This window comes from Homo sapiens, chromosome 18, assembly GCF_000001405.40.
Source record: "Homo sapiens chromosome 18, GRCh38.p14 Primary Assembly".
Classification (NCBI taxonomy): domain Eukaryota; kingdom Metazoa; phylum Chordata; class Mammalia; order Primates; family Hominidae; genus Homo; species Homo sapiens.
This window is the reverse complement of record NC_000018.10, coordinates 34,046,480-34,059,073: the sequence shown is the minus strand read 5'-3', so window position 1 is coordinate 34,059,073 and position 12,594 is coordinate 34,046,480. Positions and strand designations below refer to the sequence as shown.

Sequence of the window (12,594 nt, the reverse complement as noted above, 5' to 3'; positions counted from 1 at the left end):
GTCATGATAAAGGGTTTGAATTTCAACCAGAAGTGGATAGGAAGCCAATAAAGAATAAGATTTGCATTTTACAATGACCCCTTTGTGCAGAGTCCAGAGAATTTATGAGAAAGATAGATGCTGAAGAAAGAATAATCAATTTGATGGCTTTCTAGGTCAACAGAAAAGACATACAGAAGGCAGAGGCTGTGGAAAAGGATTTGAGAAAAAACTAGAAATTGTAAGTTAAATACACAACTTGTTTTAGTTTCCTTTTTTCCTAACATGGTAGATCCATTTAATAATTCATTCATTATTGCAATATGTATATTCATATTTTTTAAGGTCTCTCACAGTGCAGGCACTGGGTTAAAAACTGTGGATACAGTTTCTAGTTGTGAGATACAGCTTTACATTCATGAAGTTCACAGATTTGTTATGAAGATTGCAATATTAATGATAATTACGATGGAATATGACAGGTGCTTGCTAGACGTAGGCACATAGGAGTCTCATTACACCCAGATGGTAAATGTCTGTGAGGGTTTTTCCAGTAAAGTTTACTCAAGACATGAAAGCCAGCAGGAGAAAATTTTAGAAAGATAAAGGCCTCACCTAGCAGGACAAAGCAGGGGCAAAAACAAAGAGTTAGAAATAAGGAGGCCGGGCGCAGTGGCTCATGCCTGTAATCCCAGCATTTTGGGAGGCCAAGGCGGGCAGATCACGAGGTCAGGAGATCGAGACCATCCTAGCTAACATGGTGAAACCCCGTCTCTACTAAAAATAACAAAAAATTAGCCGGGCGTGGTGGCGGGTGCCTGTAGTCCCAGCTACTCGGGAGGCTGAGGCAGGAGAATGGCGTGAACCCGGGAGGCGGAGCTTGCAGTGAGCCGAGATCGTGCCATTGCACTCCAGCCTGGGTGACAGAGTGAGATTTTGTCTCAAAAAAAAGAAATAAGGAACAACAGGCCAGCAGAGGAAGAGCACAATATAGACCTGGAGATGTGAGCAGGCCTGTTAAAGTGAGGAGCTGGATATAGCATAGCATCATTATGGCCAGAACTTAGTATACAATGAAGAGAATGGGAGAAATGACATTTATGAGAAAAAATAACTGGAAAATTATCAACAGCTGAAATCAATAAGCAAAAAAGTCATTTACAATTCCTGAAATCATGCTCTGCATTTTTTAAATCCATGAAGTGCAGAATAATCATAGAAGCTTAAAGATAAAGTAGGCAAATGTGTTAGTAACTTACACTGTGTAATAATTAATATTAATTTTTATGAGCAGTATTTTATATTAACTTGCTATTTCCATAGCAATGTGCAACTAGAGCTGAGATGTATAAGGCATGATTCTTACCCTCAAAATCTTTCAAGTGCAACTTCCTTCAGGAAATATTCCTTGACCATCCAGTGCATGTAATCATATTCTAATTTGTATTTAACAAATTGCCTAGCAAGTAATATTGTCAATAGATACTGTTACTTATTACTATTATTATTAATAAAGATAGATCACAGATCTTTCAGGGCAACAGCAGATGCCACTGATAGGCCATTTACCCACACTCCTGAAATTCAGTTCTACTCTCATTCTAGAAAACAGATTTGATTGAGATGTTGACCAGGTCAGGACAATGGCACGTATACAAGGCAAAGAACATTTTAGTTTTACCTGGGCTTAACCTTAGGAGCCCAATGTAAACAGAAACCGCATAGTTTTTCAATATAGCAGTATTCTTTATCTGAGCACCAGGTGAATAAATCATGTGCCAAATTATGTGTGCTCGTGAGTGTACATATGCACATGTGTGAATTTTGGAGGAAGAGAGGATATATGTAAATATAAGTACATGGTGGTGGGGAGGGGTAGATTTCTTTAGATTCTCAAGAACTCCAAACAGTGTAAAATCCCTGCCTTAAGGTGATGCTTAACTGAAATTCCTGCTTTAAGGTGATGATTAATATTAGAATTGCCCTGTTTCTAAGCCTTTAAGAGGGACATGTCAGGGTTCATTAAGCACTCCAGGACTTCCTCCTATGCCTGAAGCTAGAGAAGAAACAAATCTTCCTAAGTCAAGGGTTGTATTGCATTCTACTAAAGCCTTGTTCAATGTTACTTTTCAGTAACCAACTATCATCTTTAAGTATTTCTCAGCATTTCAGTTAAAACTAAACTAACAGAAAGTGATGTTGGCAAGATGGCAAACCAAGAGGCCCGAGGCCCTAATTCCCCCCTTGAAGACACTGAGTTAACAATATATGGACCAGAATCCCTTTTTAAGAACTCTGTTGACCAGTTAAGAAGTAGCGGCACCCAGACCAATGCAAAACCAAAAAAAAGATCCTAGTAAAGTTCAGAGAATTTTGCATGCCCATGTCCTTTTCTTGAGTCAGTGTAGCATAGTGCACACTGGAGGAAACATTCCATACAAGGGCTCTTCTTTTACAATAGCAACAAGAGAGTGGATTGTGAGTCAGATATTCTGGTTTGTCTAGGGGCTTCCTGAAGTATTGGTTTCTATATCATAGCACTGATGGGAACAGTAGCAGAGTTTGGAAACCACTGAAAAAAGAGGCAAGCGGTTTGGCATGGTGGGTCCTCAGAGCTGCAGAGATTCTGTAGTTCTACAGGCAGATGCTAGAAGGAGCAGGAGATTATGAGCTCCTGAGAAAAAAATGGGCAGGCTGCTTAGGGAATTTGAGAGAAGTAAAGACATACACGAGCCCAGAGGAGAAACATCCTCAGAAACGTTTTGAGAGTCTCCCAAACATATAGCTAGGCTCATTGATGAAGGCCGTTCTCTGCACAAATCCAGTGCATAATGGCTTGGGCAGGTGAATGTGTTCTCAAATGCCCAAATCTCAAATATCAAGAAATATCACAAGGCATGCAGAGAAACAAAGAAATGTGGCTTGATGAAATGTACAAAACAAAACCTTGGATATAGAACCTAAAGAAAGGCAAATCACTGAACTTTCTGACAAATAATTAAAAACAACTATTTTAAATATGGTCAGTAAGCTCAAAAAAGAACATAGAGAGATGACTAAACAAAATCCAGAAAACAATGTATGAACAAATTGAGAGTATCAGTGAAAAGGTAGAAACTATAGGAAAGAATCATATAGAAATTCTGGAGCTGAAAAATATAATAACTGAATTGCTGAATTGAAAAATTATTTAGAGAGACTTAATAGCAAACTTGATCAGGCAGATGAAAAAATCAGTGAACTTTAAGACAGGACATTTGAAATCATTGAGATAGCGGAGAAAAAAAAAGGAATGAAGAAAAGTAAACAAAACTTAAGGGACTTATGGGGTACCATCAATCAGACCAATATACAAATTATGGAAATTCAAGGAGTAAAGAGAGACAGAGAGAGAGATAAAGGGGCAGAGTTTATTTGAAGAAATAATGACAAAAAACTTCCCAAATTTGAGGAAAGAAACGGATATACATGTTCAAGAAACTCAACCAACTGCAACCAGGACGAATCCATAGAGACTCCACCAGGACCCATTACAATCAAACTGTTGAAAGTCAAAGAGAGTTGTGAAAGCAGCAAGGGAAAAAAGACTCATCATGTACATTATAGCCTCTATAAGATTATCAGATAATTTCTCAGCAAAAACCTTATAGGCCAAAGGAAGTGTGATAATATTATTCAAAGTGTTTAGAGAAAAAAATGCTGTCAACCAAGAATACTACAGCCAACAAAATAATTCAAAAATGGAGAGGAATTTAAGATTTTATCAGACAAATCTGAGGAAGTTCATTCTACTAGATCTACTGTACAAGAAATGCTATAAGTGAGTCCTTCAAAGAATGCTAGATGAAAATACAAACTTCAGTAAAGAAAAATACATGGCCACATATAGGAACTAGTATTATTATAATTTTGGTGCACAAATTTACTTTTAATTCTTATATAAAATTTAAATGACAAAAACATAAAAACAAATATAAATATATGTTAATGGATATAAAATACATAAAGATGTACTTTGGGACATCAATAACATAAAAGTAGGGACAATAAGGAGTAGAGTAAGTTGTTAGTAGTTTAAAATAAAATGTTATAATTTGTTTAATATGTTATATATAAAATATATATAATATGGAAATATGCAATATAGAATATATTAATATATAACATTATATAGAATGTTATGTTACAACTTTAATGTTTTGTCTAATTGCAACAGTAACAATGTATATGAAAGGAAATGAAAAGAAAGTCAAAGCATGCCATTACCAAAAGTCAACAAAAGACAAAGAAAAGCAGTAAGAGAGGAAAGGAGAAGTAATAGAGCTACAAGACACACAGAAAACAATTAACAAAATGGCAATAGTATCTCCTTCCCTAAATCAGTAATGACTTTAAATGTAAATGGATTAAACTCCCTGATCAAAAGATATAATTTGCTGAATGGATTTAAAAAATCAAGATCAAACTATATGCTGTCTACTAGACTAACATTAGATGTTAAGGATACACATAGGCTGAGAGTCACAAAGATTAAAAACATATTCTATGCAAGTGATAACTAAAAAAGAGCAGAGGTGCTATACTAACATTAAAAAAGGAGACTTTAAAATAAAAATGGTTAGAAGAGACAAATAATAATATCACATAATTATAAAAGGGCCAATTTGCCAAGAAAATATATAATATTTTATAAATATTCGTGCACCCAATATCAGAGTTCCCAATAGATGAAGCAAACATTGGCAGAATTGAAGGAAGGAACATACAGCAGCACAATAATAGTAGGAGACTTCAATACCCCACTTTTAATAATGGATAGAACAACAACCAAACAAAAGATGAATAAGGAAATAGAGGACTAGAGCAATTCTATAAGCTAATTGGACCTAACATACATATAAAGAACACTCCAGTCATTCTTCTCAAGTGCACATGGAACATTCTTCAGAATAGACCTCATGTTAGGGTACAAAACAAGTCTTAACATATTTAAAATGATTGAAATTATACCAACTATCTAGCATTTAAAAATAATTATGTGAGAATTTGCTTGCATCACTTACAAGTATGTGAATTTCCAGTATTCATCTTTAACATTCACTTTCATCTTACTCATAAACATGAGTAAATAAAAAAATGAAACCATATCCATGTTGAAGTATACTTGATTGTCAGTTGCAGTCATCTTGATTGTCACTGCCTACAAATATAATAGTTTGGTAAAAATCAATGTGAGTATTCTGAAAGAATCAATTGGATATATTAAATTTATAATAGAGTATTGAATATTTTATAATTCAAAAACTGTGTTAAAAATCTTTTATATCAGTATAATTATAATATTGCTCCCCCTTTTTTGGAAACTGGTTATTAAACATTTATCAGCATAGAACTGATATTACCATTTATCTGTTTCCTATATGTTCCTAACATTATTTTCTTAAGTATGTTTCTTAAGTCTGGACATTATGTATGAAAAATAGTAGAGTGATAATAGAGAGGGTCTTAGGAATGTTATCTGGCTCAGAGACAATTTTCCATCTTCCAGCAGATAAGGGGGCACAGATCATTTGAATTAAATTAAGTATTGAACTGGCTTGATGCTGGGTTTTAGTTCTTATAATAAGCTTTTTTCTCCATATGTTTCCTTCCACTCATAGGGTCTAACCTACTGGTTGTCCCAGCTGAGATCCAGGACTCCTCATAAAAGCTCTTCCTCCCTAATGGTCCTTGGCTTTTTAGTTTAGAACTGAGAGTACAGCAAACACTACTGTATTTTTTTTTCAACAGTTTTCTGTTTGTCTCATTTGTCTTTTGCTCTTGGCAATTTAAGAGTATGCAAAGCCTTAAAGGCAAATCCATAGAATGGTGGTCTTACTTCTCTGCTACTACCTTCTCTCTGTAATCTTGACTACTTACATCATTGCTACCATCTTCAATCTGAAATCCATTTTTTCTTCAGTATTTTAAGAGTTCCAAAAGTTCTCTACCTATTAGCAATGTATGTTCATATTCTTCGTCTCTCTTTTCACACCAAAATTGGTGTTTTCCCTGAGGGAAAAAGCTGCTTACAGAATGTTGGTTCACATTTCTCTGATGTCCTTCCCTCAGGGATCTTGGGCTCTCAAGTCCTAGTTCTCTCTTAGCTGTCTGATGCCTTTAAATATATTTTAATCATCTATATTTCAAAATTAGCTTTTCTGGTTATTCTCATTGGGAACATTGGACTGCTCCAATCTATTCCATTATGACTGTATCTACATGCTTGTTATATGATTTCATAAGCCTACCTCCCTGTACCAGGAAAAAGTTCTCTCCTAGATTCTCTCGTAGCATTCTGTGTATAATTTTATAAAAATAATTAGCACTTTGAATCATAAAGTCCTATGTTTTTGTCCATCTGTACTATAATACTAGACCATGAGCTTCTAGAAATTAAATACTATCTTATTTTTCTGTCTATTCCTAATACATTGCACATGATTGCTGCTGAATAAATGATTGTTTAATAAATAATTTAAAAGTGTGGGAATAGATTTGTAGATTTCTGGACCAAACAGCCAATTATTTACCTGACAGATACTCCAAAGTTTGTTTTCCTCTATGTTTGTGTTTAACACATTTTCCTTAACTTCTTTCAGTACTTGTACAGCTTTTTAAAAAAGAGTTAAATGTTTAAGCCATCTGGAATTTATTTTGCTGTACAAATAAAGTGAGTTATAATTATCCTTCTTTAGTTGTTTTTTATCTTAGAAAAAAAAAGACAATGGTGTCAAAGTAAGGGCAATTTACTTTTACTTTTATAGATCAACCATGTATTACTCCACTTGCTAGAATAACATGCTTTTTAACTAAAGGAATATTTTTGAGCATTGTAAACCTATAATGGATTAGTTATTAGACAAATTTCTATTTCTGTCCTGATACTTTAGTATCCTTAGATAGTATTTATTCACTTTGTTTTATTAGATATTAAATTATATAGATGATGTGAGTAAATGCTAGTTAATATGCAGATAAGAACCTTTTTACATATTTAATCCTCATTAGATTTTTACTACTCCCTCTGTGAAGCCTTCCCATATTCCTTAGGAGAGAGTTGGCCACTCTTTTTCCTAGTTGCATGGTGCTTTCTTTGTGGCTCTTTTATGGCCCTTATCAATTTGCATTAAATGTATCTTTTTAAAATTAAAATTTTATCCCTATTTCTACTGCCTTTCTTATTCCAAAATTTGAATTTATTTTCCTCTGAAGCACTAATACTTAAAATACATTCATTTCCCCTGCCGGAAAACACACACACACACTCTCTCACACACTAGCAGGGAGAAACTTCCTTATAGTAGACATTTCTTTCTGTTTGGTTCACTATCATACCCCCAGCACCTAGAGCAGTGTCTGGCACATAGACTATGCTGAGTGACTGTATGCTTCCTGCATTAAATTGTGAACTCACTGAAGACAGGCACAGTGGTCTAAGCCTTTGTATCCCAGCACCTACTACAATATCTAATAAAGCAGATGCTAAATCAATTTTCTAATAAGTGATAACTCATTCTCTTATAAAACTAAAGGAGATGTTATTGTTATTCACAGTCAAAGATAATCCTACTTATGTTGTTTACTTATTGTTTAGCAAATAATTCTTAAACTATAAAAAGTATAAAAGAACAAGAAATATTTAAAATTTAGTTCATTGATTACTTGAATACATATTTATTTATTGAATTTTATAAACCAATAATAATTATGTAGACAGATTTACATTTTTCTTCTGACACATTTAGAATTCTAAAGTATTGTCTATTCACTTTGCTTTATTAAATATTACAGTCATATAGATTTTATTAAAAATATTTATTTTCATTTATTAAGTATATACCTGATAGCAGACTTTGTATTAAGAACAGGGGAGACAAAGCTGAATAATATTTAGTCCCTGTCTTCAAGGTCCTAAATGACACCTAACATTTACATAGTATTTTCAATATGTCAGGCATTATTATGAGAAATTTATACATATTTACTCCTTGAATTCTCATAAAGATACTCTTATTATGTCCATTCTGATGGTGAGAAAACTGAAGCAGAGAGAGATTAGTAATGCAGTTTGTCATTAGAGTCTGTGTTCAGTGTCTAGCCAAAGTCTAGAGGCTGTATCCAAGCCTTTCCATGAAAGGCGGCTTTTTAGAAAAAAATTGTTCTCAACTCCGCATTTGTTCCCCTTACTATGTAGGCTCCAATATTTCAGTCTTTTTACTCAGAACTGCCTTGGGGTTTATATTTAAAACTTGTTTTGTGAAAAGTGCTGTTTTTCCTACTCTCATTTTCCCTATTTCCCATAAGACAAACATATTGTTTTAATTTACCAGATCTGCTGAATATTATGTTGAAAAATTAGGGCTCATAAAAATAATACATGAGGAAAAATTTAAAAACTATAGAATTTCTTGCAGTAGTGATTTCTGGCATTCATATAACCTTAGTTGTTTATAACTCACTTTTAACATCCAAATCTAAGTTGTGGCACACTCACCATAACTACTTAAATAATTTTTTCTACAAACAATATTGTCTTCTTGGGGAAGCTAGACAATATATAATATGATCGATGTCCAGGTAGTCAGTCCTAAAGGAACAGCAGATAGTAACATTATCTATTATAGCAGTAAATTATTTCAACACATTTTTAACTAAGAAATGATTTAGAAATAATTCTGGTTGATTGATTTTGAAAGTAAACCATATGTTGTTTACATGTGTTGGCATTTATCCAGTTTCCCTGAATATGAGAGTGAATTTTTTTTTTCCAAAAAATGAAAGCCCTTTACTAATTAGATAATAATGAACATAATGAAAACAGGTGCTATAACTTTTTGAATTATGAGAATGCATCTTCAGAGCAAGCTCTGAAAAGAGGATCATGAAGGGAAAATTATCTGCATATATTGTGAAGTGGGTACATATGTATCCTGGAGATATATTCCAAGGCACACATTAGCAAAAATTTAACAGCATTTTTTACTATGATGGAAATAACAAATACAAATCAAAATGAGTTTTAAAATATGCTGTCTCTTTTAAATGAACTACTAAATGTAAATACATGCATTATGTGCAATAATGAGATTCTAGTTAACATCATAAAGCTTTTCAAACGCATTAGGGTGACAAGCAAGAAGTAACTAAAGATAGCCCTATGATTTTCTAGAAGGCCAATGTGGCATTGAATCTGACTAACATATAGATTCTCACACCTCTGAGTGACAGCGACATCCATAAAGTCCTGTTCGCTCTCAGCACTTGAAAGAATAGATGTAGATGATATAGATTCCATTGCTTCAGCCACAAAGGAGAATAATTACAGACAGTGGGGGAAGGGTGGTATGCAGGAATAGATGCTCCTAACATAAAAGGTTGAGAAATAGAAAAGATTACGGGGAAATTAAGGAGTAAAGAGGACAGGTCAGATGACTCCCTGGGTGAGAACCTGAATCAGAGTGATTGAGTAAACTGAACCTCTGCTGCTGGGAGGGGAAAACTTTTCCTGCCCTGTATCTTTCCTTCCAATTGAAAAGGATGTACTCATTTGAATCGCAGTAATGTTTCTGAAGAAAAATGAATGTTCAATGTTCAAAATAGTCAGAACTATTACAGTATACTATCAACTGTTTAAAATATATATTAATATACGTGTTCATTATTTTCCAGAAAATTTAACTGCCATGTTTGAAAATAACGTATGAAATCTGCCCTCCTACAATGTGGCTTGATACTAGATCTCTTCTGCTGTGGCACAGGCACTTAAATTCCGGTTATAATTATTTTTCTAAATGATTAGCAGTTATTGTGATTATTCTCTGGATAATATATGTATGCAAAATGTGGCTGCAGGATTTGCTTTTGTTAGCATACCCCTCCCCCACCCTGAAACCTCAAGGCTCCAGACGTTGATGCTGGAGAGAGAAAATGGATGTGTGTGTGTGTGTGTGTGTGTGTGTGTGTGTGTGTGTGTGTGTGCGCGCGCCTGTATCTAACCTTCAAGTTGATACAATGGTGATGATATACAAACAAAAAAAAGGTAAAGCTTCTCCTTGATAGTGCCATTCTCAACTCATTGTAATCATTTTAAAAAATCTAAAAGTAAGCAAAATGCTTTTAATTTAAAGGGGGTAGTGTTTTAACAAGCTACACAGAGTATTTAAACTGGAAAATTATTAAAACTGAAAATGGCACTTTTATTAAATAACTCTGTGATCTTCCAGCCATGTTCTTAACCAGTGATCTCCCTGTAGCAAAATGTACAGATAATCAACAACCCAGTCTGACAGTAAACTTGTTGGGAGATTAAATCCTCAAGGAAGGAGCCCATAGCCCTGGAGGAAGACTGAGTGCATGTTTCCCTGAGTCTTTGAAGGCTCATCTCAGTAGTCCCACTGCTAGAATGTGCTCCGTTGTCATAGCAACACCATCTCCTGCTTCATACAGGAAAGATTAGCTCTTACTGTGCAGAGGAGAGAATTTAGGGGAAGTCAGACTAATCCCTGGGTGCACTTCGAGAGAAAGGTTGGACCTCGCCTGAGGGATGCTGGATCTGCAATGATAGAATTGGCCTGCCACAGACATTGGTATTTAAGTTGAAGAGCAGAATTCACAGTAAGTGTCAGCTCCTCCAGAGTAGAATATTGATGAATGAGGTTTGTCTAAGTCTTGTTGAAGACTGTCCCATGAAGCAGTAGAATGACAGGAGTAGACTCTGATAAATGCCAATGTTTTCCTAGTTCAGTTGTTATTTAAAGGTCTGACCAGATTAGAAACTTGAGGAAAAATTTTAGGTACTTTTTAAATATCCATCTAAAATCTCAGGAGCATGGTAAAATTAGATAAGCAAAAAGAATATATTATATGCTTTTGGCATTTAATTTATTTACCCTAGATTGTTGTGCATTTAAACCTAAAATTCCATCAAGAGAGAGAAAAAATATTCATGGACAAATCTGCATGTGTAAGCAAGTTGTGTTTCTTCAACACCAAAAGTGATGAAATTTCATTTTAGGTTTGTAAATGTCCTTTTCTAATTATGCATACATATTTTAAAAATCCATTTAGAAGTATGCAAGTGGTGTGGTTTTTTAGGTCATTATAATATGATGAAAAGGCATTTTTGAGTGAAGAGCAATTAATATAGCTATTCTGTTTGGTGCTGGTACTTCAACTTTTCAGCATAAGGCATGTGCAATGTGTATACCTTTCAGGATTTTTTGTTGATCGCCTCAGATGGATTTTGTTCTGGGGGGATGTCTACGTCTATGTGGGTTTGTTCATTTTCTTTTCCTCTTTGGTTTGTGCTTACACAGTTCCTTCCCCAATTCTTATGAAGCATATGATTTTTAGCTTAGAAGCTAGAAACCTTGTATGAATTTTAAATATTTGATATTAGTGTCTATTGTGAAGATATCTAGTCTTTCAAAAACTTAATTACCTCAAAAGACACTTTAATCCACATACAAAATTGAAAAGAATTTTTCAAAACTATGTAGATTTTACATATTATATTAATATATAACCCTTGTGTTTATGACTATCAATGGGTATTCCCCTGAATGTATTTATTTAGTATTTAAAATATTCATGATGAAAATTGTATCAGGCTACATCCGTGATACATGATGTTTTTTAATTGTTTCCATCATGTTTATATATTTATAACATATATTTAGAAACTGGGATTGTTTCCCCTGTGTAAAATCCTGCTAGTAATGTACTACACACTACAAATAACATTACAGTCTACGCTAAATATAGCTATTATCATAAAAACATTTAATTGCCAATTGAAGTGTGCTGTTTTAATTTCTCAGAATAGACAGACTTGGGTGTTGCTGCAAAAACAGAGCACAGATCACACATGCACTTCTTTTCCCTGAAACTTAATGCTAGAAGAGACCATTGGTCCTAGAGTTGAACAGGTATATTAAAATGTTGGATAAAATTATTATCTTCATATGTTAGGAAGTACACACAAAACTAGAAGGGTTATACTTTGCTTAATAGCATTTGGGTTGTAACTATGCAGAACCTGGTACTCTTAAGAAAATGGAGACAAAGCAGGAAGTCAGGGAGTCCCTCTCAATGAATGATCATAAATTATTCCAACAACCTTTTTGGTGATTTCTATTAGTAGTTCGGGATAGGACCCTTAAAAATTACAAAAGGAAAGAGGTAATTGTGTTCCTTTTGTCCTCCCCAGAGAACAAATTAAAGTAGCTTATCTCCCTTCATAGATTTTGGATAGCAAGGAGACAAACCAATGACTTTATTTCAGAAAGAGTGAAACTTAGAGGGTCACTGCAGAAGGCAGTGAGCAGAATTAACAAAATAGGACTAGGAAAGAAAAAGAATAGCTAAGAAAAAAATAGGCACCATTTATTGAGATAGCAGAGTAAAGTACATATACATATATATATATATATATATATATATATATGTATAAGTAAATAGTAAATTTTAAAAATGGTCAGGGACTTAGCCAATTTACTACCTTAACCAAAGTTTTTCAATAGGTATTCCTAACCAGTTAAAATAAAATTTTATATTTCTTAGAATTCTCCATTC

At 33.9% G+C, this 12,594-nt stretch overlaps 1 protein-coding gene across 33 annotated transcripts in view; it reads left to right on the top strand.

Annotated features, from left to right (window-relative positions):
• NOL4 (nucleolar protein 4) overlaps positions 1-12,594 on the top strand; it is a 373,814-nt gene that overhangs the window by 165,840 nt on the left and 195,380 nt on the right. For 3 of the 33 annotated variants that reach the window (NM_001384472.1, XM_047437904.1, XM_047437903.1), the window contains one exon: positions 156-220. The exons of 28 other annotated variants lie outside the window; for them this stretch is intronic. Coding sequence is in view for 2 of the 5 variants with exons in the window: in XM_047437904.1 (XP_047293860.1) it covers positions 156-220 (65 nt within the window). In the remaining 3 variants the exon portion in view is untranslated. Of the gene's footprint in view, positions 1-155; positions 221-10,461; positions 10,636-12,594 lie in introns of those variants that run through there. 2 more of the 33 variants (NM_001353236.2, NM_001198549.2) reach the window with 1 other exon arrangement.